The sequence below is a fragment of the Homo sapiens genome, chromosome 2 (assembly GCF_000001405.40).
Source record: "Homo sapiens chromosome 2, GRCh38.p14 Primary Assembly".
Taxonomy (NCBI): Eukaryota; Metazoa; Chordata; class Mammalia; order Primates; family Hominidae; genus Homo; species Homo sapiens.
The window spans coordinates 118226897-118254779 of record NC_000002.12 but is presented as its reverse complement, the minus strand read 5'-3'; the positions used below and the strand labels follow the sequence as shown (position 1 = coordinate 118254779).

General features: G+C 44.4%; 2 annotated features.

Annotated features, from left to right (window-relative positions):
- Positions 4157 to 5356: an enhancer, noted in NCBI's record as "MED14-independent group 3 enhancer chr2:119007000-119008199 (GRCh37/hg19 assembly coordinates)". NCBI's record gives its function as "activates an origin of replication core promoter dependent on BRD2, BRD4, P300/CBP and CDK7 cofactors, and independent of MED14, by STARR-seq in HCT116 cells {active_cell/tissue: HCT116}" and the evidence as "EXISTENCE:reporter gene assay evidence [ECO:0000049][PMID:35650434]".
- Positions 4589 to 4638: an enhancer, noted in NCBI's record as "active region_16445". NCBI's record gives its function as "activates an Ori minimal core promoter by ATAC-STARR-seq in GM12878 lymphoblastoid cells {active_cell/tissue: GM12878}" and the evidence as "EXISTENCE:reporter gene assay evidence [ECO:0000049][PMID:35858748]".

The following is a 27883-nucleotide window of genomic DNA, read 5'->3' as shown; positions in this document are numbered from 1 at the left end:
ACAGGGTTTGAGTCTCCCTCAACCACATGGAGGTGGTTAGACATTTGGGGGTTAGGGGGTCCTCATGAAAACAACCTATTAAACTTTTAAAAATATGCAACTAAAACCCACTTGCATTTCGAACAACATTGGCACCTAAAGTCAGTCTACTCTACTGTGTGGCTTTGCATTGGCAAATTTTGTAGCTAGGGACTGTGGCCTTTCACTGTTCTGAGAGGACAGTGTAGTGTGGTGTGGTGGCCAAAGAGGGTCTTGTTAGAAAATCATGCTCACTTAGAAAGGATAAAGATGGGGACGACTCCAGCCATATGCAACTGGGGACACATTAGCCCACAAGGAGGTCCTTGTTGAGCTGTGTGACTCTGTTGGGATTAATAGTAAGGAACCAGCATGCCAGCCCTTGGTCTTATGATAAGCTCTGGAACTTGCAATAATTTTCCAGTTTAGGGCAAAGTCACTCTGAGATATGGAGACTGAGAGCCAACTATTGTGCAACTTAAGGTAACACTTAACCTTATGTTTCCTGTCTAATAAATTGGGAATACATTCACAGGGTTGTTAAGAGGGTAGTTCATCAATGGTTAATAAGTCGTAAAGTGTTTTATAAATAGCAAGGATATTTCTTATGGTGAAATCTTAGGACTCTAACAAACACATTTAGGAAAAGGAAAGAACAATGAAGGCTTCATAAAGGCAGGTGACATTTCTGGTTTTCTCCCTATGGTATCTCTAGTGTCTGGTACAGAAAAGGTATGCAATAAACTTTTTGTTGAATGAATGAGTAAATTCAGGAGCAGCAGCAGCAGTAGCAGTAACTGGCCCACAGTACATGGACTACCTTCTCATTTGCTGTCTTTGGTGCCAGATGTTTTTCTTTTCCTTTCCCTCTGCCAATCAGGCTACATTTAGTCCCTGAAGATTTGTCTGCTGCCAGTATCCTTCTGGAAAATTCCATTACAAACAAATGGTTCTGCTGAATGTTACCATTTTTCTGAAGACTGTGGAGTTTCAGGAAGATAAGAGACAAACCTGGAACGTTGGTCTTTGGCAGGAACAAACCCAATACTCTTCCAGGAAATGTAGCAGACAATTTCCTGTGGCTATTGCCCTTGCCTGAGCCAAGTGTGGAGAAGTTCCTGCCTTGGTCTCCCTCCCTGTCTGCTGTACCAACCCCAAGGGCACCCTAACTTAACCTTACCACTGGTATTCTGGAAATAATCAGAGCAGACTTAAAGGAAGAGGGCTTGGCTCACGCCTGTAATCCCAGCACTTTGGGAGGCCAAGGCAGGCGGATTACAAGGTCAGGAGCTCAAGACCATCCTGGCTAAGATGGTGAAACCCCGTCTCTACTAAAAATACAAAACATTAGCCGGGTGCGGTGGCACGCACCTGTAATCCCAACTACTCAGGAGGCTGAGGCAAGAGAATCACTTGAACCTGGGAGGCGGAGGTTGCAGTGAGCCGAGATCATGCCATTGCACTCCAGCCTGGGTGACAGAGCAAGACTACGTCTCAAAAAGAAAAAAAAAAGAAGAGGGCTAAGCAAAGCCACTGCAACACACAGCTGGACTTGGCTTCTGCAGTTCTCAGCTCAGAGCTCCATCTGAAGACTCAAACCCTGCCCCCTCGATTCCTTTCCATGTGAGGCCTGGCCTTTAGCTCTGGTCTGGCTGCTAAAGAAGACTGGAGGTTGAAAGAAATGTATGTTATTATTCAGGGACTGAAACACTCTGAAAAGCACTTAGGGACAAAAGTTCAGCAAAGAACAGCTTCTAAGAGAAAACCAATATTATTTCCCAGAAAAAAACCTAATGGAAGTTCTAGAGTTGAGGCACAGTTAGCATGGGACCCAAACAGATAATTTAAGGAGTTGGGAATGCTTCTGATTAGAAGGAGGCCCTGAGGGATGGAAGATCAAAGGATAGAGGGCTGAATTCAGTCACCTGAGAAAATATGGGCTGGATGAGAAATGCTTCCCCCTAAAGCTAGAGTCAGTCAATCAAATCATGCTATAGGAGTTCATGGAAATAGATCTGAATTGGGAGTCAGGATTCTCGATTCTGGTACATTCTAAAATCAATTAGCAAATCATTTAAGAATTAAGCAAATCATTGCACTTCTCATGTGCAAAATTAAGGGAAAAATTAGGTGACATTGGTAGTGCCTTAAACTTCTATTATTCATGCCTAAGGAAACAAAAATGAGATTAATTGCTACATGGTGAGAGCGAAGTAAACTAATGTCAACCTGGCACCTCTTGTTCTGGGGTTTTCATTATCCAGTTGCTTTACAGAATTTAATTCTACGAAAACTCTAAGAGGTTGACACAGTTCTTCCCATTGAACAGATGAGATAGCCAAGTCTTAAATAAGTCAAGTAGCATATCCTAGGCTAGAGAGCTGGAGGGTGGTAAGACAAAGATTCAGATTCCAGATGCTGTTTCCAAAACTTCCCATTCCCCCATGGTACTGTGCTCCCTCACAAGCCACATAAAGAACATCAGTATTGTTTTTTTGTAGTTGTATAATGCTATTCCTCATAGAAAGCACCATACTAGACAATGCTACTTGCATGCCAGAAGCCATGCAAGACACATAAGGGATGCAAGGGATGCCAACACATACAATCTATGCCCTTGCCCTCCAGCTTAGGTGGCAGGCTGGCTCAGTGACATCTACTGAAAGTGACTGCTGGGATAAGAGTGATAGGTCACCCTGACATTTTCCATGTCCCACTTTTCTTTCTTCAGGATGCCATCTTCAGCCAAGAGAGTCCAGGGGCTTTGCACTGCATCATTAAAATACTTGTGGCCCTCCCATAACCCTCACTTTCCATCATCTCTTCTCTTTCATCCCTGTAAATTCAATTCTGGCTGGAGATTGGGTGTTGGAGTGGAATTAAAACCTTTCCATGTCTGCCTGCTGAAGTCCAGTGCAAAAATAATTAAATCTCCAACCATTTATCTTCCATCTCCAATTCCAATCCATTGTTCTGAGAACGATTTGAATGGTGTGCTTCCCCATGCTATGTAATTTAAAATTGAGTTCACACTTAGCTAACTTTTTACTGTTAGGAATGTTTCTGTGGCACGCAATTCAGCCTCCTCACAAGCACAGTTCTAATTTGGAGCTCAAACAGACAGAGGGAGCTGGTATTGCAGGAATGTCAGTCTAGTCACTGGTTTAATGGCTGCATGGTGGCTGAGTAGTTGCAGATGTCAGCAGTTCAGTCTAAGCAACAGTGCCCAGACATGAAGGCCTCAAAGCCCTGGCACCTCAGAGTGGGCATACGTAAACAAAATTGTGACATAGAATTTCTTGTCTGATGCTACTTTTTGATGTCAAAGCCTCTACTTAATACACAATATAGTAGTTTTAATGAATCTATTCAATCTAATCTTCATAATCATGGCATCTCTAAGGTAGAAAATTAATTGGATGAAGTTAAATATCCCCTTTTTATGTCAACAAAATTGGTTTTTCTAGGGATTAAAGGATTAACGTGGTGCTAAGTCCCTAAAGAGGTTAAAATACTTTATTATTCATTACAAAACACAAAGATTGGGCTGTTATTTTTTTTCTTATGTCACTGCCACTCATTTCATTGAAGTGGAGCACCGAGGAGAACTGTTAATGACAATTTCAGAAGCTCTTAATGCTCTTCAAAATTCATGTCTTCCCTGCTTACAAACTCTTTTTGGGTGAAATAGCCTGAAATATATCAAATGGAAACCTTTTACAGCCTATTCTCAGAACCAAATGACCAGTGGGCAGGAATGAACTTTCAGTTAAGTCATCGAAGCTGCAAAATGTGGCATTTCATATTGATGTTCTTCCTGTTTTTATACCAAAACAGCACAATTCCAGTCAACAAGTGAAAACATATTTCCAGTCTGGATCAAAGGACAGAGAACGCTGGACTATGTCATGTGAACACGGGGCAACCACTTCTTAAATTAGGATTTGCCCATTGTACCCCCCCCCCAAAAAAATGAGTGATTTCAACTGTTTTCATCCTAGTTTGCACAATTCTGAGTTGGAAAAAACCCTTAATTCAAAACTGACATTTTGCAACTAGGGAAACAAAGGTGAAGATCTATGCTGTGACTCAACAGGAAGTGACAGGTGGCACTGGAATCCTGGTTTCCCGACCTCGTCTCTCCTGTACTGTGGGCCCTCTGCATTTTCCTACAGATGATGGTTTTGTGACCAAGGGCCTGCACTTGAAAGATGAACGTTGGGACCCAGACTGAGACCAGGACTCCTGGCCAAGATCACTGGGTCATATGGTGACCATGCATGACCTCGGCCTGATGAAGTTCAGGCTCTGAGCTCTCTGACACCGTGTACCAGGCTCAGCAAGCCTGACTCCACTTTCCCTTCAAATCCATCCTGGGCAGCTCCTGGTCCTCTTTAGGGGGACATATGCGCAAAGCAGTTAATTCAGGCAGCATCAGGGCAGCTATATAAAGCTCTATGCTTGGAAAAGGATACTGAATAAAACATAAGGTTGAAGATATTGAGATAATGACGTCAATAAACTATAAAAAAAGCAGAGTGAGACAAGGCAAAGAACCACGAGAGGCAAGACTATGTACAATATACCACCAGGAGTCAATAAAGGAAGCTGTCTTCAAGTTGAGCAATCCAGAGATGACTCTTGGATGAGGAGGTGGTTTGAATGAGTCCTGAACAAAGAATAAACTTCAGAAGGCGTAGATATGCCAGGGACACTCAATCCAGAAGAAAACACATGAACAAGAAGGCAGAGAGTGCTACTTGGGAGGTGGTGAGTGCTGATTTCTTCAGGATTCTTCCAGGAAGCCTTCCCAGACTGCTCTGGGCTGGTTAACTACCCCTCCTCATACTCCCCCAGCACCCTAGGCATTCACCCCCGACGGCACTTAGCACAGAATATTGCTGTCTCATATCTGCCCCACTAAACCCTGAACAACGTGAAGGCAGTTCAGGTCATTTTAAAACTTCTTGTGTGTGCGATCCCACCACAATGCCTAACATATGGTAAGTTCCTCAAAATATTTGTTAAATGAGTCAAGGGTTCAGTTTGGGTCACTGGAGAGAAAGCACGGAGAGAAGGTGTGAAAGGAAGTTTGCGGCCTCCTGGGGAAAGGCTGTTTCTGGGGTGTGAGCTTGTGCCTTATTCAGCATGTGACAGGGAAGCTTCTGGGGCAGGAATGGACTTGAGCAGAGCTGCACTTTGAGAAGAGGATGCTGATTAGGGAGTGTAGGATGGATGTGAGTGGGGAGAATGAGAGTTAGAGCAGTAAGTTAGGAGAGCATGAGGCGGGAAGCGCCTGGAGCTGGCAGGGGCAGTGCGGGGTGGGCAGGATGAGGGCAGAGGTTGCAAGGAAAGGTGGGGCTGCTTTTCCGCCCATAACTCTGTTCCTTGGTTGGCAAGAATGGGGAGGCGGCGCCTTCTAACATTTATTTCTTGCAGGGATGGCCCATAAAATGCCTACTGCCTGTAAAGCAATTTTAATTTGTCAGGTGCAGTAACCGTAAGAAGAGAAAAGAAGTGGTATTTCTGTATCTTCCCTGGAGAAAGCAAAAACACACAGAGGTGGAGGGGTTGGTCCAGAGAGACACAGGAAATCAAACTCACAAATAAAATATTGGCAAATCACCATTAATACAAAGTCTGAGTTTTAGATGTTGCCCATTTTCACAAGATTGTGAGGGTGCATACACAATAGCGCCCCTTCTGCAACTAACATTCAATTCTTTTGTCACAGCAGGCAACGTTTTCAATTAGATGCTAAGGTGTCTTCTACCATCTCTTGTAAATGCTTTGTTTTTCACATTGGCCTCCAAGAGAGGGAACTGCCACACTGTTTAAAGCTGTGGGAAGGTCCCTGGGCATCAGTGGATGAGACAACAAGAGCTGAAGGCTCAGGGTGGTCTTGAATATGCCCATAGCCACTCCAGCAGATTTTTTTTACATTGTTGCGTTAAGCATTGTCTACTGAGGTGTCCAATCTAACGGTGCACATGTGACCTTTAGGAGTTCCCAGCCTAAGTCAGAGGCTTGGCTCTTAAATGAGTCAAGGGTTTAGTTTGGGTCACTGGAGAGAAAGCACAAAGAAGGACTGAAAGGAAGTTTAGGGCCTCTCTGGGGAAAGGCTTAGTTTCTGGAGTGTGAGCTTGTGCCTTATTCAGCATGTGACAGGGAAGGTTCTAGGGCAGGAACGGACTCAAGAAACTGACAATCAAATTGAAAAGTCATCACATGTACACAGGCACATTCACACACACACACGCACACACATCCCTTGGCACAACCATCCCACCACCAAATAACAGCATTAGCAATAAAGAAAATCATAATCTATTGTTAGAGAATGCAAGAATCAGTGGGAAACAGTAAAGAACAGTAGCTAAAAGAGGAGTGTCCAGGTCAGAATTACGGCTCACACACAACTAGCTAAATGGCTTTGGGCAAATTATCCAAACCACTCTGACTCTCAGTATCTTCACCTGTATAAAACAGAGATGACAACAGTACATACCTCAGTGAGTTCTTTCTGAAAACTGAATAAGAAATTATACTGTATAATTTATAATATATAGTGATATACATGCTATATGTGTAATATAGTATGTAGTATTATATATTTATACATAGGACATATAATACAGATATAGAATAATATATGGTATATAGTATATTATACATGATTATATATATAACACACATGTTATATTATATAATATAGTATATTATGTTATATACTATATATGATATACTATGGTTATAGCATATTATTATATGTTCCTTTAAGTGGTGCATGTAAAAGAGAATATCTTGTCTACTGAAATGGAAAAGAGAGCTGAGCGGAGCTGGACAAGTAGGATTTCTCTGGCAGCAGCAGGGAGCTGGGCAGTGTCTATGGGGCAGGAGAATGGAAGGAAGGAGCTTTGACCTCTAATACACATGGAAGCAGTAGCAAGCTACCTAGAGAGAAGCAGGGGGTCAGATGACTTGTGTGGTGTGTGCTTAAGTGTGGGTGTCTGACAAATCATGTATGAAAGTCTAGAGAGGCACAAAGGGAAGGACAATGGAAGACAGCATTGGCTGATGGAGCCTGCTGAGGAGGAAAGGTAGGAAATGCTTGCATCACTTGGAGTGGACTTCCATGGTAAGCCTGGCATTATTGACACTGGTAACTGTGGACACCAAAGCAGATTGATTTCACAGATGATATTTAAAAATCAATAATTATTATATTAACCATCACATCAACTTACATTTCTACGTAGCCCTTTTTTACTTTCTCAGTGCATTTTTATACTGTGATCTTTCTTGTTCTCTCACCTCAATTCAGTAAAGCTGCAGATTTATTACTTTTCCTTCTTTACAAAGATGAGCAACCTGAGAGCAGAGGGGTTCTATGATTTTTCCAAAGCCACGTATGTAACCTGAGGCATGCCTCTCAGCCATGGTAACTGGTAACTGGGGCGTCTTTTTATTGAGTTGTATCATTTCAGATATTATCCATCCTTTCTCTAAACCCTCTGAATAATCCTAAAAGTCCAGGTCCATCCCATTTATTTCCTTTGCATCCTTCATGCTCCTCCTCTTTCCAATTCCCCTCTTCACAACACACTGAAGCACCTCGAGATGCTTTACCCAACATGTGCTCAATGAATCCTCATGGAATGCTGGACCTTCACACTGGGGACGCTGGCTTCAACATTCACAATCCCAGCTGGCCTTCAGGGCTGACCTAAGTCTTCAAGGTTTTGCTGTGAGCACGGGATGAATTCTGGGAACCACTCCAGCTGATGCTCTGACACACTGACACAGTGGAGCGGCCAACTAGAATGAGGTGGATGCCAACCTGGAAACTGGCCATGCCCTGGGCCAGCCCCACTGAGAGCAAGCCACGGTGGTGAGGAAATGTGTCAGCCTTGGACGTGGTAACTGGAGGCACTGTTCTCCAAAGGGCTCACAAGTCATTCTGTGTTCAAGGGAAGGAGGTCATCATGTGAATTCTTTTTAAGCTGAAGGATCCTGATGCAGTGTTTTAGCTCCTTGCTTTAGAAATGGACAGAGGGCAAGGTGACCAAGTCTACAGGTCTCTTACTCCTGGAATAGAACAAGTTGTGAATTGATAACAATGTATTTTTGAGTTGGAGAGATCTTCCTTGTATGGAGATTAAAGTCCCCTGACCCAAAGACTCTCTGGAGACAACTGAAATTTGAAAGATAGAGCCTAATAGCCAGCTAACCAGCCCTTCCTCTAAGTGCTCTGGGCTCTCTCCCTGTTCTGAGCCTGATCATCTGAATTTAATGTGGCTGGACGTTATTATCTTAGTTTGCCACAGAAAAGCCTGAGCTGAAATAAGGTTTAATGTTATTCCCTTGGCCTTTATAGAGGATCGATAGGAGAAACATTTGAGGAGCATTCCTTTGCCTTTGCAGAAGTGCAGTGAAGACTGCGTCCATTATGCTAACTGGTCTCCTGACTTAGTCCTGACACAATAAATCTTCTTTCTACACAATGCCGGGGAATGTCCATCTCTTCCAACTTGTATTCCTTTTCTCTTCAATTGTTATGGACTGGGTAACCCAGTGTGCATCTTTTTTTTTTTTTCTTTTTGCCTTCATTTCTAATAAACTCAGCATTAAATGCAACACTCAGCTACAGTAACTGGTTATTGCAATAATCAATAACAATTATTCAGTCACCATCACTATCAACATGTTTTTCTTCATTTTTTTATCTGTTTTTATCTTCTTTTTTTTTTTTTTTTGGAGACGGAGTCTCGCTCTGTCACCCAGGCTGGAGTGCAGTGGCACGAACTCGGCTTACTGCAAGCTCCACCTCCTGGGTTCACACCATTCTCCTGCCTCAGCCTCCTGAGTAGCTGGGACTACATGCGTCCGCCACCACACCCGGCTAATTTTTTTTGTATTTTTTTAGTAGAGATGGGGTTTCACCGTGTTAGCCAGGATGGTATGGATCTCCTGACCTCATGATCCACCCCCCTCAGCCTCCCAAGGTGCTGGGATTACAGGCGTGAGCCACCACGCCTGGCCTGTTTTTATCTTTTAATTGTCATTTTATATATGGCTAATTTTGCAGACTGCTCAAATTCTGCCTTCCATTTAATAAAACAAGAGGTAATAGATGATTGATAAGTAGAGATAGACGAATGATAGATCAATAGGTAGGGAAAACAAGCTAGCTTTGGGTGAATGGATGGAGGTATGGGTGGATGGGTAGACTGACCTATTTTATCATTGTGTCCAAGCAATTAACCCCAAAATGGAATCAGAAGTCCAGAGTTAGCCCTACTATTGGCTCAAGATTTCCATTCAATCCAATTTCACTGAAATGTGTTGAATATCTGTAACCTGAACACAAATTTCTCCAGGATATAGTTCATGTTTTATTCATATTTATGTTCAATGCAATGCTGCCATATAGTAGGTGCTCACAAAATGTTTGAGACAAATTGAACTTACTCAAACTAGAAACTTAACAGGTGCAATACGCAACACCCAGAGCCCAGCATATCCTTGGGGAGATATAATTCCCAGAACTGAACAGATAGCAATGGCCATATAATCAATAGGCCCCTCCTAGGCCATTTGGGCTGATTGCTGTAGGCCATTCTGGCTGCCTATTCCTGCTGTAGGCTTTTCTCATGCTATTTCCCCATTGACATTGCTCTCCCTCACCCCCATCCATTTAACCAGCTCCTACCAGCCTTTGAGACTTAAATCAAGTCTACCACCATAAAACTTGTTTCCAATTCCAGCCTGCCCACATTTCCCCTTCTCTGATCATCCACTGTGCATGAGGCTTCTCTGATATCTTCAACTGCCTGTGACTCAGCCACCCAAACATCCCATAGGCACCTCAGTTTCAGCCTGTCTAAAGTGGACCCCCACCTGACTGCTGTGTGATCTGAGTACTAAAGTGTGCAGGTCCTGCGGTGAAACAGCCTGAGATCAGATCTTTGTTACAGCACTGCATCAGCATCAGTCATCAGTCAGGGTTCACTCACAGAAGCACAGCCACTAAGGGATGGATGGATAGATAGATAGATAGATAGATAGATAGATAGATAGATAGATAGATAGATAGACAGACATATACGTATATGTTTGTGTGTATACTTCAAGTATGTGTGTGAAACACATTATAGATATAGATACAGATATAGATGTGGGTATAGATATAGGTATAGATAAATATAGATACAGATACATACATAGATGCAGATTCGATATAGATAATTTGGATATATAAAGGAACTTTTTTTTGTAAGGATTTGACCTTACACAATTGTGGGAGCTGGTCTCTGTAAGACGTGTCTTTGCATCACGTGTTGGAGCTTTAAATGTGCAGGGCAGACCGTTGGGAAGGGACGTTGGAGAGCAAGAGCCAGCTAGGCCCTACGAGTACAAGCTAGGGCCCATGAAGATGGACTAAGACCCAGGTCAGTCCTTTTGCCTCTGACCCTTGTAATGTGGGTCTCCTGAAGAAGCCAGAATCTTTGTTTCGGACTTAAACACACACCTGGCCCAGGAGTTGGGAAAGCTGAAGGAGGATTCAGGGAAAAGGTGAAGCAGATCCAACTGCTGCCTCACACCAACGAGGCAAGCCAGCAGATTAGCAGCACCAGGAGAGCCATGTCCATGCATGGGAGCTGCAAAGCAGTGACTGCCTCACCTCTGCCCTCCAAGTCTCCCACAGGAATCACTCCGTGGCCCATGACAACCAAAAACACACAAGAAAGGGAGTTTTGAGAAATTATCTTAGCCTAGCCACACTAACACAGTTCAAAGCCACCACAACCATGTGTATTTTTTGCGACTTTGGACAAGTGACTTAACTTTTCAAAGTGGCTTCACTTTTCAAAGCGGCTTCACTTTTCAAAGCGGCTTCACTTTTCAAAGCCTCAGTTTTACTATCCGTAAAATAACAAAAACATAGCAAAGCATTCCTATGAAAATTAAATATAGTTATCCCTGTTGAGGTGTTAGCACTCAACTACATGTTTGGCACATAGTTGGTGCTCAATAAATGTTAGCTGTTATAATGAATCTGGCCTCTCCTCTTATTCTCATATCTCAGTTGGTAGCCTTAAAATCCACCCTTTCATTCAAGCTGGCAACCTTGGAGTCGGATTCCTCATAGCCCACCACAAAGGCCATGTTCCTTAGCACATCCCTAGGGACTCTCCATGACCTAGACCCTGCCTCTTGTCCAGCCTCAATGCATGGAACTCAGTTAATCATGATCTTTGGTTTATGTCACAATTTCAGAATTGGTCCATGTATGACCTCTTTCTGTTTTCATTTATTTGTGTTTATTGCAAACTCACCACCCATGCAAGAACTAACACTGGCAATACTGTGTCTATGTGCTCCTTTCCATTACTCTTCCTGCCTTCCCCAAGCACAGGTGACCACCCATGAAGTCACTTGGAAAGCCTGATTCTAGATCTTTGCATAAAATGGCTTGATAAGCCTCCCTGCCCACTCTACTTCCCACCTCTTGTGTTTTGAGGAACAGCCAACCAGAGGGAGAGCTTGGAATTGCCAAAGACACACATCCACACCCACGATGGCTACCTCAGACTGCCCAGTGTGCAAAGAGAAGGAAGAGGTCAAATGCCCATTGCTCCAGCCTTTCAATAAATTAGCTCCACTCAACAAGAAACACTGATCGGTGGGAATCCTCCATTAGTCAGGTGATTCATTCCTCTCACATGAGTCAGAGCAGAAGACCACTACTACTTTAGTACCAAGGTCTTTGACCATAGGGAGTAATCTCTGGAAAAGACTCTATTGATGGACTTCAGATAAATAAATTATCTTGCCATTTCATGCAAGCTAATGTGGGAATGTGCCTTTGTGGGTGATGGGGAAGGTTAAAAGCCTTCATCAGATTCTTGAAGGGATTCATGACCCAAACATATTTTAGAGCCACCCTACATGGAAACATGAGGGTCTGTTGCCCCTGATACTTGCCCAGGAGTGAGGGGTAGAGGATGAAAGGCCAGAGAGCCCAGCTCTGCCTCTCAATTCTGCAGAAGGTGGCACACATACTGTGGCTGACAGCTAATGTCTTGTGAGCCCACAGTGACCTGTGCAGCCCTGCTAGAGTGCATAACTCTCCAGAAGGAGCATGGGCTAGATTACAGCATTCATTATCCCCCAGCTGGACAGCATGTCCAGTGAACGACCTGCTCCATGGTACATAGTAGCCCTGGGAAGCTGCAGTTCCACTGCCAACCTAACCAAAAAGAGGACACTTCTCTTTCAGGATGTGGTCTCAGACAGTCAGGCCACCCTCTGTATGCCTAATGACTCATGTTCCACCACATGGCACTTCTTATACTGTTGTCTCTATGATAGAATAGCTCTTCTAGTGCCTGTGTTCCTTTGGAGGAAAAGGTATCACATTTCTCTATCCATTGCCCCAAGGTGTTTAGCATACCAGAGGTGTTGAGGGTCTGTTTGTCAAGTATTACATGGCCCTCGGGCTGGAGCTTATGCACCTTTGTCCAGGCACAGCACATTGGTGAACATGCAGGACACACGCATCGTGTTCTTCCCAGCAGCAGCATGTATAACTGGATAGAATCCAGGCAGCCCTTCACTCTCCCCCATAACCCATACTTTTTTCATTCACATAACAATCACATCCTCAGTAGGGAGAAGAGGAAGGCTGAAAAGGTGAGCGAGAAGGTGTATTTTCAGTGAGGGGGTAAGAGGAGAGAAAGGGGAGTTCCAGTGACTGGGAGAGGCAGTTCAAGAAGGAGCAAAGCAGGGGGTTATTCCCATACTGAGCAGTGGCCCAAAGGTACCCCTAAACCCTGTTTACTCAAGACTTTGAACACTTAACTTGCTGGGCACTGTGCCGGATGCTATGATTAAAACTTAGTCCTTGCCTTGTGGAGCTCACTATAGAGCTCACCTCACAGAGCTCAGGAGACTTGTTCCAGGTTGGGAGGTGAGGAAGAGCCAAGCCAGACTCACTCACGTCCTAGGACTGCTAATTTTTAGCCCCATTTCTTTAAAACAACAGCCACTGCATAACATGATTAAAAACTTAACAAATTACCACCCACCCTCCATGGCCCCAGGGCCCACGTCACCTGAGCAGGTGTTTTAAGGCCCAAATGCTTGTCAACTTCATTAGTATCTCATAGCCATTTGTAGGTCATTTTAGCTGTCAACCCAGCATTCCAGCAAGATGCACTGAAGTACCTGAGAGACTTCCCTCCTGAATTAGCTTGGGCTCCTGTGATGCTTCAGGAACCTCTGTTACATGCCCTGTCCCTACAGGAAGGCAACCATGAAACGATTCTAAGGACTTTTCTCCAGGAAGCAAATATATAAGATTTTGTGAGTTTGGCCTATCAGGTTGAGGATGCAGTGGCTCAGGAGCATATTCAGACCAGGCGTCTTTCCTGCCTTTACACACATCACGTCTGCAATGCTGAGCAGCACCTATGCCGGGTCACTCCCGACGCAGCTGAGAGACTGGACAGCACTGCAGCGAGAGCAACACATGGGCGTCAGACCCAAGTTCCAGCACACACTGAGGCAGCAGGAGTTGAACAACTTGGGTGAGACACTGCCTGTTGAGTCTCCCTGTGTCCACTGTGTGAGACATTTCCCACTGAGTCTCCCTGTGTCCACTGGGTGAGAAACTTCCCACTGAGTCTCTCTGTGTCTATTGGGCAAGAGACTTCCTGCTGAGTCCCACTGTCTCCATTTGCAACATGAAGGTGTTCAATAAGATCAGCGGCTATCAAGTTGTTCTTTTAGTCTCAGAACATTTTCTGCAAAAGAAAACAATCCCAAGAAGGACAACAAATAAAGCCAAAAGCAGCAGAGTTCCTCTGGTTGAAAGGGGCCATGGGCTATGAAAGAGGTCTAAAATTCTACCCCACACAGCTAGGTAACCCTTAAGGCAGCTCCATGGGACCCCACAGGACTCCACAGAACAGAGTTTACACAATGTTGTGCCAGACAATCCCTAACAACCCTTTCCTCCTTGACATTCTAAAGTCAGATTGTGAAGCCTTGTGGTCACTAATCTTTCTCACCATTTGCCAAAAACCCTTTCCCAAATTGGACTCCTCATTTAAACCTCCCAAATGTTGCCGATTTTAATAATGAAATGAGCTCGCTAAAGTCAGTAGTTTATTTTCTAACAAGTATCAAAACAAAGTTTGCCATTCCTTACTGACCTTGAAAACACAAGTACCTACAAGAGTCAGGCAAATTCAAAACAAACAACCAAACAACATGAAAACAGATGACTGGGCCCCATCCCTCTGAGTACACTCTGAGTCAGTAGGTTGGGCTGGGCCCTAATTTCTATAATTTTAACAAGCTCCCAAAATGCTTATAAAACACACCAAGACTTGAGAAGCCCAATAATATAATAAGAGTCCAGCTTAAGTGTGACCTCCTTCAGGGAGACTTTCTGACCTTCCTCTCCCACCAATCCTCCCCAGTCCTCCTCCTTGATCCCAAAGTACCTTCTGTTTACCTCTGTCTCAGTACAAATCACACTGCACTGTAATTAACCGTCCACCTGTCTCCTTCCTTCCCCCAGAAAATCAAAAGCTCCTGGAGGATGAAAGTGTTCATCTCTGTATCCTCAATGCCTTAGTCTCAGCCTTAAAATGTGCTAAAATCCCTTCACTCAAAGAGATTGCAACATAGAAATTAAGACCTAAAGAGGTTTAAACAATAGTACAAAATAAGGGTCAATCCATCATACAAATACCAAGTAAGTTGTAAACAGCATGTGATTAATTAGAAAAATAAAAATAATAACTAACATTCATGGAGACTCTGAAAGGTTAAGTAATTTGCCCAAGGTCACACAGCCTGGGAAGTAACATAGTTTGAACTTGAACCCAAGTATCTGCCCAAAGGCTAGAGCAACTTAACAACTTAACTACTCAACTTAACAACCATTCCTCTCTGTGTATTAGCAACAATCAGTGCCATGGAAGATTAGAGAAAAGAGAGGCTAATAAAGCCCTGGAAGGAAGAACTGGAGCTATGTCTGGAAAGATAACTTAGAGGGAGTGGAGGTGTGTAAGAAAGAATTTGGATTTGCCCAGTGAGAGATCTGGCTATGTCCCTAGCTCCTAGGAGGTAACCCATAAACTCTTTGCTATTCAAGGGGACCCCTTGGATCACACCGGATAGTTTCTGCTAATGAAGTGACTCATGTGTTCCTTGGGCCATATGATATCAGCCGGACATCTGGGGAAGGAGGGCTGGAGATTTAGTTCAACCACAAAGGCATATAGTCATTCACACTTGTATCATGAAACCTTAACAAATACTCTGGACACTGAGGCAGGGGTCATCTTCCCAAGTTGTCAATACTCTGTGAATCGCCACATGGATGCTGGGAGAATGTCCTGAAGACAAGACAGCTTCGCATTTGTATCCCTTCTAGAGCCTGCCCTATGCGTGTATTCCTTTGGCTGGCTTTAAACTGTGCCCATTCCCTGTAATAGACTGCAACCAGGAGTATAACAGCATTTCTGTGAGTGCTATGAGTGTGTTTAGTAAATCAAACCTGAGGATGGTTTTGGGAAACCTCTGAACTTGAAGTTGATGTCAGAAGTGAGAGTGGGCTGAGCACAGTGGCTTATGCCTATAATCCCAACACTTTGGGAAGCTGAGGTGGGAAGATTGTTTGAGCCCAGGAGTTCAAGACCAGCCTGAACAACATAGTGAGATCCCATCTCTACAAAAAATCAAAAAATTAGCAGACGTGATGGCATACACCTATGGTACCAGCTACTCGAGAGGCTGAAGTGGGAAGATTGCTCGAGTCCACGAGTTCAAGGCTTCAGCGAGCCACAATCATACCACTGCACTCCAGCCTTTGACAGGGAGAGACCCTATCTCACATACACACACACACACACACACACACACACACACACACACACACACACACAGAAATGAGTGTGGTCTTGTGTGGACCCTTCCTTCCAACTTTATAAGTTGGATCCTTGCAGTTCTTTTTTTTTTTTTTTTTTTTTTTGAGAAGGAGTCTAGCTCTGTCGCCCAGGCTGGAGTGCAGTGGCGCGATCTCGGCTCACTGCAAGCTCCGCCTCCCGGGTTCACGCCATTCTCCTGCCTCAGCCTCCCGAGTAGCTGGGACTACAGGCGCCCGCTACCACGCCCGGCTAATTTTTTGTATTTTTAGTAGAGACGGGGTTTCACCGTGTTAGCCAGGATGGTCTCGATCTCCTGACCTCGTGATCCGCCCGCCTCGGCCTCCCAAAGTGCTGGGATTACAGGCGTGAGCCACCGCGCCCGGCCCCTTGCAGTTCTTAACCCCTGAGGTCTCACATACTGGGGTGGTGAGACTTCTCCATCATTGACAATCAGGCTTACAGTTGGTACAAATAATAACACTAATACGAATGCTAGTTGAGATAATAAACACCTGGCATTTATATGTTTCCCTTCACAGCCCAGTTGTCATATCATTAAGACAACACTTTGTCCTCATTTAATCCTTTTTACTTCCCAGAGCATTCTTTCATCTGTGACCTCATTTTTCCCTCACTGCATGCCTGGGAAAGGATAGACAGGATTATTATCCCGACTGGTGAGATGGGAGGCATAATGTGATCTGTTCAGGGTCACACACACAGCCAGAGTGACAGCTAGCACTGGACCCAGAACTCTCAGCCCAGGGTTCCTTTGAAGACTCCAACCAGCCAAGAAGAAAGCCCAAAATTCCTCATTTCATTTCTCCATAGGTGTTTTTGAGGCCACCCATACCTCTTAGAAGTCCTGCAGAAGAGTTGAATGTTGAGAAAGCAAGAGAAAAGTGAGACAATGTCAAACCTTCTCCATATTTGCAATAACTATCTTGTGTGCTTTGATGGCCCAAGAAGCCTCCTTCTCCCTTTGTACTGGACACTGTGAGTAGCTCTGCCTAGATCCTCTTGTACCCCCTTTTTCTGTGCACCCTTTTCCTGAGCTTCAGTGTACTTTTCTAACTTCCTGTACCTATGGCTTTTCTTCAGAGGACTATCCTGGGTACCAGAGCCACACTGCCTGAGCACCCAGAGAGCTGAAAATGTCCCCTTGGGGGCAGCCTTTAGCCAGTGACTGACAGGTGCAGAGACTGAAAGCCCAGAACCCTGGCCTCTGTTTGGTATGACTTTGAGGTCCAATATGCTCCAGATGTCCCCTGTGGGATCAGGCTGCAGCTACCCTTTGCAGAATTTTCTGAAATCATACCCTTGCTAAATTTCTTCCCCTTCCCTGTCCTGCTTCCCAAAACTCCCTTCCCAGTTTCTCCTGGGAGCATTTCCTTAACCGATCACTAACAATCAAATCTCAGGGTCTGCCTCTTGGGAACCCAACCCAAGACACTTCCTAACTCATATCTAACATACAAAGAGTCAGAATCACAGGTTGTTGAAGTCAACAGGGCATCCAGGTTCATCCCTCCAGGGAAGGTACCACCAAATACCAAGGGGTCTGATAGAAAAATCTGGGTGCGAAATGGGAGTTTAGACTCTTACTAGCCATGTGACCTCAGGAAGTTTATTGAACTTCTCCAAGATTCAACTGTCTCATCCAAAATTGGTGTGGGGAAAGGGCCAGAAAGGGCAGGAATAGTAATATCTCCCTTGCAAGTTCATTGTGAGGCTTGGGTAGGCACAATGTGTTTATAGTCAGGGCTGATACATAGTGGGAGCTCAGTAGGTAATGAATACCTAAGTCTTAAAACACTGCATTTCTTACATAACTTATCACGTCGGATTCTTGATATATTTATCTGTGTGTGTCTGCATATCTTTCCTACACTGGAATGTAAGCTTCTTGAGGGCAGGAACTTTAAAATTTTTTTAAATCTTCATATCCACAGTACCTAGCACAGAAGCTAACATATGATAAATGCTTGTAGAGTGAGTGAAGGAATGACTGACCCCATACCTTTACGACTGAGAAAACTAAGGCTGGAGAAATGAAGTGATTGGGCCAAGGACACTTATCTAGTCAGGTGAGCACTGACTTCCTGTCCAGTGCTCACCTCTCTGTTTGCTGTATCTCTTGGCACAAATGGCAGCAATATTCAGAAAGAAAAGCTTAGTTCACAGGAAGTGGCTGCTCTCACCTCCGGTTCTCTGTCCCTCTGCTGAGGCCCAGATGTCACTTGTTTTCTGGGTTCTGTAAACATGGAGCCTCTTTTGGGCCCCACTGAAGACAGCTAAATAAAAGCAGGTACAATAATTGCCCTCCAGCAGCTTATGATCAAGCCAAAGAAACCCATATCAGTCACTCCAACAGCCACTAGTATCATCCTGGTAAAGCAAACATCTTGCAGGCACCTAGTGCCAGGCTGTCCATCCCTGATCACCTGGAGCACAGGGCTGCTCCAGAAAATGTGCTCTCTCACTTTCCCCTCAGGCTCAAGTCTTTAAGGAATTGATGGCAGGAGAAAAGTCTGACAGAGTAGCCAGGGAATGAGAATTGTCATTTGGAAATGATTCCTGACATGGGGCTAGGGCAGAGGTTACATTCTGACAGCATGCACTCCAAATCGTTTGTAAAGAGTCCTCATCATTTAGAGATACCTGCCGAACTATTACAGATGGAACACAATTTCTGGAATTTGCTTCAAAATAATTCAAGGGAAGCAGATGGGGACACAGATGAGTCAATGCAGGTGCATGTTCGTTGACACGGCTAAGTGATGGGTACATGGAGGTTCATGATAGCGCTTTCTTTTTGTGTGTATGTGTTGGAAATATTTCTTAATAAAAAGCTTACAATTTTTTATTTAGTAACTGTGTAAAGAGTTGACATAGAAAGCCTGAAACTGCTCTCCTTAGAAAGGTCTACTTGCAAGGGTGGCCCTTGACTGGCATCTTGAAACCTGGCTGGTAAACAGTTCCTTACATGGAAGTGAAACATTCTGTAACTGGTAAGAGTGGCTCACTGTGACATTCTTATCACAATGGGGTTTATGCTGGACATCTGCTTTCCTCCTGGGAGTCTGGAATTTCAGTACATGCTGGCAGAGTGACCAGCCCCCAATAAAAAAGCTTGGGCAAGGAATCTAATGGGCTTCGTTGGGCTGAAACATCACACACATGTTGCTGCATTTTTGCTGCTTGGGGAAAAGTGGGCAGTGTGTGAGCCCTCTAGGAGGGAGTGAACATAAGGAAGGCTGTGCATGGATTCCCCCAGGCTCTGCTTATGTCTTTCCCCCTGTGATCTGCCTGTGTACCCCTACCACATTGTACTAAAACTTAGAAGTGGTGACAAACAAATGCTGAGTTCTGTGAGTCCTTCTAGTGGATCTCCAAACATGGAGGTGGTCTTGTCAACCCCCAACATAATAACTGTATTAGTCCATTTTATGTTGCTATAAAGGAATACCTGAGACTAGGTAATTTACAAATAAAAGAGGGCTCATGGCTTTGCAGGCTGTACATGAAGCATAGCACCAGCGTCCACTTCTGGTGAGGCCTGAGGAAGCATTTAATCATGGTGGAAGGCAAGGGGAGCCAGTGTGTCACTTGGAAGAGAAGGAGCAAGAGAGAGAAAGGGAAGGTACCAGCCTTTTTTTAACAATCGGTTCTCATGTGAACTAATAGAGCAAGAATTCACTCATTGCTGAAGGGAGGGCACCAAGCCATTCATGAGGGATCTGCCCCCATGACCAAAACACCTCTCATTAGGCTCCTCCTCCAACATTGGAAATCACATTTCAACATGAGATTTGGAGGGAATAAACATCCAAAATATGTCAGTAAACAACATTTTAAAATTAGGAGATTTTATATAAAAGTCTGGATTTCCAATTTGTCTTGAAAAAGTAAGAGTTCTGGCAACCCTAGGTCTTTACCTGGAGTTGAACATGGCCTTTCCAGTTCAACAGCTCCCACTCAAACAGCTTCAGTTGTTTATATTATCTGTCTAGCCCCTGCAAGCTTTTGAGTTTTAGACCCTTGAACAGGAGGAGGGGGTCTTGACAGGTGCTTCAGAAACACAGGTTCCTGAGGCTGTGTTCATTAAGAGGAATTGACCTGCCATCCATTATAGGTCCCTTGAGCCCTTCAAGTCCAACAGATTCAGCAAGTATTTACAAACAATGTTTACTAGGCCTTGGGCTCATAATATTAGTGACAATAATAGTACTTATCATTTACTTGCTCTTGCCAGGCTTTACCCACATGGTTACTAATCCTGGCGACATCTCATGATCACCAGTTCCCAAAGTGATTCAGTCTACTATCACTAGGTGTCTATGCCAGGTGCAGGCAAAGTCCTAGGTAGTGGGAACACAAGGACAAATAAGACAAAGCCCCTGCCTCATGACCTCACATTTTTGTCAACAAATACAAACATGAAATTAATCGACAAAGGAATAAATATGATATATGTCAGGCAATAAGTGCTGTGAAGTGAAATCAAGCTTGCAGAGGGCCCAGAGAGGGACCTGAGGATGTGTGGCCAGGAAGACAATATTTCAGAAGATAACATTTGAGCAAAGAACTGAATGAGGTAAGAGTGGGAGCCATGCAAAGGTCTGGAGAAATAGCTTCCCTGGATCAGAAAGAGCATGTGCAAAGTTCCTGGGGCAGAAGTGAGCTTTGCTGGGCTGGGTTGTGAAAGCTTGGTGAACAAGAGAATGAAGAGATCAGCAGCCAGATCATATGGGTCCTACAGGCTGTGATGAGGCCTTGCAGATGTTATTCTGGGTGAGAAGAAAAAGTATTAGAGGATTTTGAGAAGGATGTGGAAGCATAGGTAGAAACTGAAGCTCTGAGACAGTAAATAACATTGTCCATAAGTGGCAGAGTCGGAATTCAGTCCCATGTCTATCTGAGTCCAAAGAGAGTCTAGGGTCCATGCCATTGCAAAGGCATAACATGGGAACATTTCCCTTCTTTTAAAATGTTTCTTCTTTTAAAAAATTTCCCAACGAAATTCTCAGTTTCCCTTCACTTTGGAACCCACTCTTATAACACCACAGTGCATGGGAATTTCCTAGCCCGAGAAGAGGACATCTATCAGGTTCAGCTTGTTGGCCAAGATCAAGTGTAGGTGGATGCTCCTTAATGATCATGAAAAATTGTGAACACAGTTGCATGTACCACATGAACCCATACATGACAGCTTGTATGTAAATGCAGTTTTTATCAGTTAAATCACTTGAAAGTCACCGATATGCTTGCTACCTAAAAGAATCTAAAAGAAAGCCTTAGTTAAGGGGAGGGAAAAAACCATCTTGGAACACAAATAATGACAAACCATTCTTCTTTCTTCTTCCAGAAGTATGGTTTCTGTACCTCAGGTTTTCTTAAAGCAGTGGATGCCTGAACTATTCTTGTCAGCATCACTGCGATATATCACTATTATTAAGATATACAACATTAGATATGGCATGATAAGGTTTACATATGATTAAATCCCCCCCTTGGTGGAGAAGTGTCTACAACACAGAATGGAACTGGCTCATCAAATCTCGAGAGTTTACACGACCTCTTTAGAATTTCAATTCTCTCCTCGCTGTCACATTAAAACAGTACCCAGGGACACTGGGACACTGGGATTTTTTAGTCCTGCATTTGAATTGTATCTGGCCAAACAGAACCAGCCTCGAATTCCCCAGAGGACTCCCACAGGAAGCAAATGTAGGTGTGTCCTCTGCGTGCTGATGATCAAAGAGAGAAACCAACTTTTGTGCCAGCAGCTCTTGATTATTCAGGGGCGGATGATCCAATTTGTGGATTAGCTGGGCCTCTCGGCCTTTCCTGATTTCACTGATCATTAGCCCATGGACCCCTCGGGCCAGGAAGATAAAAGGAGCACCAGGCAAAGCGGTCCAGTGGCTTCTTGGCCGCTCTGGTAAAAGGGGGCAGGGCAGAGGCAGTCGTATGCAGTAGGGAAAATGAGGTTTGGGGATTATCCGGATTTCAATGAGCTCACTTCTCCATAGCCCCCTCGCCCCCCACCTGAGCCCCTATCGCTGGGTAATGAACAGTTTACCTTGGATGGAGTGGGCCCTAGAAACAGCCCAGTGGATTTTGAATGTGATATTTCAAGGGCCTTGGGTCCAGGAGTGTGAAGTTGCCCTTTACAGGGTGGGAGACCCTGGAGAATCAATCTCCTCATTGCTTCTTTGCTGAGTGTGTCAGGGCAGGCATGGGGGGTGGGAGACACTGCCTTTTACAAGAACCTCTCTGCCCTACACAATCGCCAGGCTCTTAGCCCTAGAATGGGGATAGTCCATCCTCTTACAGGGCATTTCCTGGGGTTCCAAGAGCTACTGAGGAGGAGGAGGGGTAAGAGGGAGAGAGACAAGGAGGAGAAGAAGGAGAGAAAGGAGAAGAGGAAGGAAGAGGGAGGGAGGAAGGGAGGCTTCAGTCCAACCTGAATAGGCTTTTGATTCCAAGACAGTTCTAGAATAGTCCTTCTCAATATTCTGATCAGACTGATGAATAAGCACTATGGAGATCATAAATCTAGATCCTCAGGGGAGTAAAGCCATCAGGAAAGAGGGCCAGAGGCATTCTGGCAGAAGGAGAGAAGCAGGTCTTTAAAGGCAAGATCTGCCATTTATCCACTGGGACTTTGGGCAAGTTATTCTCAAAGCCTCCATTTCCTCATAGGAACAGTCAGGATAACAAGAGTGAAGATTTCTTCACGCTGCTGAGGGAAAGAACTGAGATTCCCAAGTACAGGACCAGCCCAGTATGGGACTCGTGGAAAGCATGGTAGGGATGAGTAGAGTCCAGAAGGAGCAGGCAAGTCCGAGCCACACCCACATTCCCTGCACTCCATTCCTGGCCCCTGAGTGGCTGGCTGGCTCCACCACCACTTGATGTTTCAGCCATTCTCAGCAGCGAGGCATCGGAACACCCTGGGCTCATCTATGGCCTTTCCTAGACCCATAGTGTGGCAACAAGGAGTTGCACTGGGGATTTTGAAACGCAGCTCCTAAATGGCACTGGCTTACTCCATGATGTTGAGAGGCCCTTTCTTAACCTGTGTTGCTTTTCTTTAAATGGGAGCAAGAGCTCCTCTTTGAGCAGTGTGAATTGAACATTGAAAAGTGTCATAAATTAAAGGACAAAGGCAAGGGGCTAGGGGATCTGAATTCTTTTTAATTACCCCCCAAAATCTTTATAATTGTCAGTTTTCAGCAAATATATATTCAGGAGCTGTGTGTCTAGCCATGAGCCTGGCAAGTGGATTACATAGAGCCTGATGCCCAGGGTGGGTGGGGGTGACCCCTGGAGCCTCTCCTTGTCCTCAAGGCTAAGGAGGTATAGGTTGATCTCTTTCAATGCCCTTAGCGGGCTGTGCTCAGTGCCGGAAGCCAGAGTGCGGAGGGAAGGTCAACACTTTCCCTAGCCAGAGACAGAAGGATCAAGAGCTGCAGTTCTCAAATGTTTTGGTCTCAGAATCCCTTTACACTCTTAAAACTTATGTGGTTTATGTCTACCTATAATACATATAAAAATATATAAATATACTTTATTATACAATATAATTATATGTTTACATATATAAATATATCATATATACATATATAAACATAATACATAAAATATAATGTTTATATATAAAATAGGTTATATATTATATAAATCAACTATATACTTATATAAATATATAATATATATTATATGTTTATATGCAAACATATAAATACATAATATATAGACATACATAAATATAAATATATATATATATAGAGAGAGAGAGAGTTTATTTGTTTGAGACAGGGTCTTGCTCTTTCGCCCAGGCTGGAGTGCAGTGACACGATCTTGACTCACTGCGACTCCTCCTCCCAGGCTCAAGCAATCCTCCCACCTCAGCCTTCCAAGTCACTGGGACTACAGGCACATGCCACAATGCCTAGCTAATTTTTGTAATCTTTGTAGAGACGGGGCTTCGTCATGTTGCCCAGGCTGGTCTTGAACTCCTGGGCTCAAGTGATTTGCCAGCCTTGACCCCCCAAAGTGCTGGGATTACAGGCGTGAGCCACCACGCCTGGCCATATGTCTATTTGTATTTATTTATTTATCATTAATTTTTTTGAAACAGGGTCTCACTCTGTCTCCCAGGCTGGAGTACAGTGGCACAATCATGGCTCACTGCAGCCTCAACCTCCCAGCTCAAGCAATTCTCCCACCTCAGCCTCCCAAGTAGCTGGCACTACAGGTATACACTCCCATGTCCGGCTAATTTTTGAATTTTTTTGTAGAGATAGAGTTTCACCATTTTGCACAGGCTGGTTTTGAACTTCTAAATTCCAGTGATCCACTTGTTCGGCCTCCCAAAGTACTGGGCTTACAGGTGTGAATAACTGCACCCGGCTATATTTATCACAGCAGAAATTAGTATGTTAGTATGGAAATTGTTTGACCTTTCCAACCCCCTGAAGGGGTCTCAGAGACCTTCAGCTTTTCCCGGACCACACTCTGAGAACTGCTGCTCTGGCATTGCGCTGCCCAGACTTTGCTGTGCCCACATGACACCTGGAATCATGCTAAAATGCAGGTTCTAATTCAGTAGCTCTGAGGTACATAGTAAGACCACACTGCTGACAAGTTTCCAAGGGATGCTGATGCTGCTGGCGCTTGGGCTCCACTTCGAACAGCAAGGCCACAGAGATCGGAGGACAAAAAGTTCATCTTTGGCTAGTGTGCTCTTACATCCGGCCTTACAAATTGGACAATTTAATTTAAAATGGTGGACATGGGTAGAAAGGCCATGCTGAGTGGCGAAGATGGCATAAGCAAAGGTACATATGTAGGAAAATGCAACTTCAGCCGAAGTGTAGGTTCATAAAAACCCCAAGCTGCCCACTGCTCCAACCCCTAGGCTATGTGTAGCTATGTGTAGCTTCCAGTCCAGGCAGAGAAGCCACTGGTCTCAGCATCTCAGGGAAAGGGGTATGAGACCTATCCCCATCCAATACCATGATCAACAAACATCTATGAGTACCAGCAAGAAACAAGTAACTCCAGTGGACCTCAGCTAGCCTTAATTTTCCATCATCCATCCTCACTTCAATTTTCCCTTGGGAGTCATCATTTTTCCACATTCAGTCTAAGTAGTTTGGGTGGAGTTGACCCAAGGTAAGAACAAGATAAGAATCAAAGCACAACTCCCTCTGGCCACAGTGATGAGTTCAAGAATGGGCACAGGACCCAAAGGAGGCCACTGAGAGCCTTCCTGGGCCTTCTCATGGTTTTACAGAGAGACCACATGAGGAGGCCACCTAGAGAGACATGCCCAAGGGGTCCCAGCTGTCTGAGTCTTCCCAGCCCAGGCTCCAGACACATGAGTGAAGAAGCTTCCCAGATGACCTCAGCCCCAGAACCACCTGACTACAAGTGTCTGAGGAACCCTAAGCAAGAACTGCCTCACGGAGCCCAGTTGACCCTCGGATTCAAAAGCAGAATAAATGTGTGTTGCTTCAAGCCACTGTTTTGAGCCATTATTAGTATGCAATAATGGCCAGAACTGGGTCTGTTTGGCTTACCTATTAATTCCAGGGCTAAAATACCAGGAAACAAATCAAAGGCCAGGACAAAGACGCCACTGCACAAAGAACAAGTTCCCCAACTGTCTTTGCTTTGGACCAGCATGTTGGTTGTAGATTTTGTCAACAAGCTCTCACTGTGTAGCAGCCATCAAATAAGCTTTTCATGAGAATTAAGCCAAACAGTCCAGGCTGCAGTGGGAGCAGAATGAGCTTTCCATAAAGTTTGGTGGTCTCCATGATAACACAGGACACTGCTCGTTCACTGATGTTGTACTCGCTCAATTAGTTTCTTCATCTCAGATTGTAAAATCTGGATGGAAGGAGACATTTCTAATACTTCTTCAGGGTTCCAAAGCCTGTGGTAGACTGTAAGACACATACTGGGTGCTTGATAGACATTTGTCAACAGCTTGCCTGATTTAAATCTGGGCCTTATATTTCACATGGGGAGGCCATGGAAGCCCACAAAGCAAATGGAGGGTCACATTGGCCAACGGTTTTCTCTGATGGTACAGAGGTAAATGTCCACAAAAAATATTGGGTAGTAGAGGAAGACAGTTGACAACCCTTACATAACCTCCAAAGGTCTTAGAGAGCACAGAGTTGGAGTTGATAGACCAGGATTGAAATCCTGACTCAGCCATCAGGAAGCTGGAGGCATTCGGTGAGGCCCAGCCCCTACAAGTCTCAGCTTCCTTATCTGTAAAGTGGGAGTAACAGTACCTAGAAGATTGTGGTGATTAAGTGAGACATTCAATATAAGGCATATGTTGACATGTGGCAGGCACTCTGTAAATAGAAATCATCATTGTTATCATTAGCTGCACATTTGGGAATAAAACTCCTGGCTTACTTACTTTACATGGCAGTTTTGTGGATCAAGGGAGAATAGACAGAATGATGCTTTAAAAATATTAATAAAGTTCAATGTCAATAAAGTTATTAAAAACCAGAGTAAGGTCTAAATCATCTGACATAAATATCCCTTCTGTTTGCACATGCAAAGCAGAATGCAGAATGTGAGAAAAAAGAGTTGGGGAAAACCCAAAGCAAGAGGCACATCACTGATCCACTCACACAGAGCTGGAAAGAACCTTTAAAATCACCCAATTCACCTCGTTTTTCAGGAAGGGAACTAGGGCAGAGAGTGCCGCTGCATGGATGAGGCCACACAAGCTAGCAGGCAGGACCAGGAAGGGAACTCCCAACCCACATGCCCAGTCTGGTGCCCTTTTCACTATTTATCACCTTTCTGGCTTGCATTTGCTGTGTGATAATCTAGGTATCTGCCCATCAGAACATTCTTAAGCAGACACTGGATGCAACTGAAAAGTAAACAAATGCCAGATCAGTTTCATCGTTGGAACATTTCCTCACTTCCTGGCAGTTGCGGAGAAAATGCCTCTGGGGTATCTTTCTCTAATTTTCTTTCTCAATAATGGTATAAAAATGGTAACGAATGCTAAGGAGGAGTAATGTGTCTTGGGGAAAATTTAGCTTCTACAAGCTGGTTTTCCGTCCACCCTACAAAGTCACTGAGCTCTGGGATGCTGGCTTTCTAAGTCTGGCTGAAGCTCAACCATGAGGCCAAGTGCCCAGCTTTGACAAAGAAAGCTCTTCAACACTGGAAGAAAGATCGTCAATGTTGGTGTCTGAGTTTCTCTGTTATAATGAAGTGTTCAATGTTTTAAACACTGCTGCAATGAATGTAATGGTAGATTTAAAAGCTTTTTTTTTTTTTAAATTGAGATGGAGTCTTGCTCTGTTGCCCAGGCTGGTGTGCAGTGGTGCAATCTTGGCTCACTGTAACCTCCGTCTCCTGGGTTCAAGTGATTCTTCTGCCTCAGCCTCCCGAGTAGCTGGGACTGCAGGAACGTGCCACCACACCCGGCTAATTTTTTGTATTTTTTTTTTGGTAAAGATGAGGTTTCGCTGTGTTAGCCAGGATGATCTCAATCTCCTGACCTCGTGATCCACCTGCCTTGGCCTTCCAAAGTGCTAGGATTACAGGCATGAGCCACCGCGCCCAGCCTTAAATGCTATTTTAATTTCTTGCATATAACGAGGCTGTCTTTTATTCTCTGGTTACCCAGGTTTGAAAGCCCAGTCACCTCTGACCTGCCTCTCTGCTTTGAGCTCCATGTGCTTTGGCCATCAAATCTTACCAAATCATTCTTTCTCTCCATCCCCATAACACTGGCCTGTAGCAGCCCTCATTCCTTATGACCACCATAGCCTCCCACTGGGATCTCAGAATCCAGGCCTTCTGCCCAACCCCAAATCCTTCCTGGGCACAGCCCCTGATTCACCTTTTACAAATGCCCC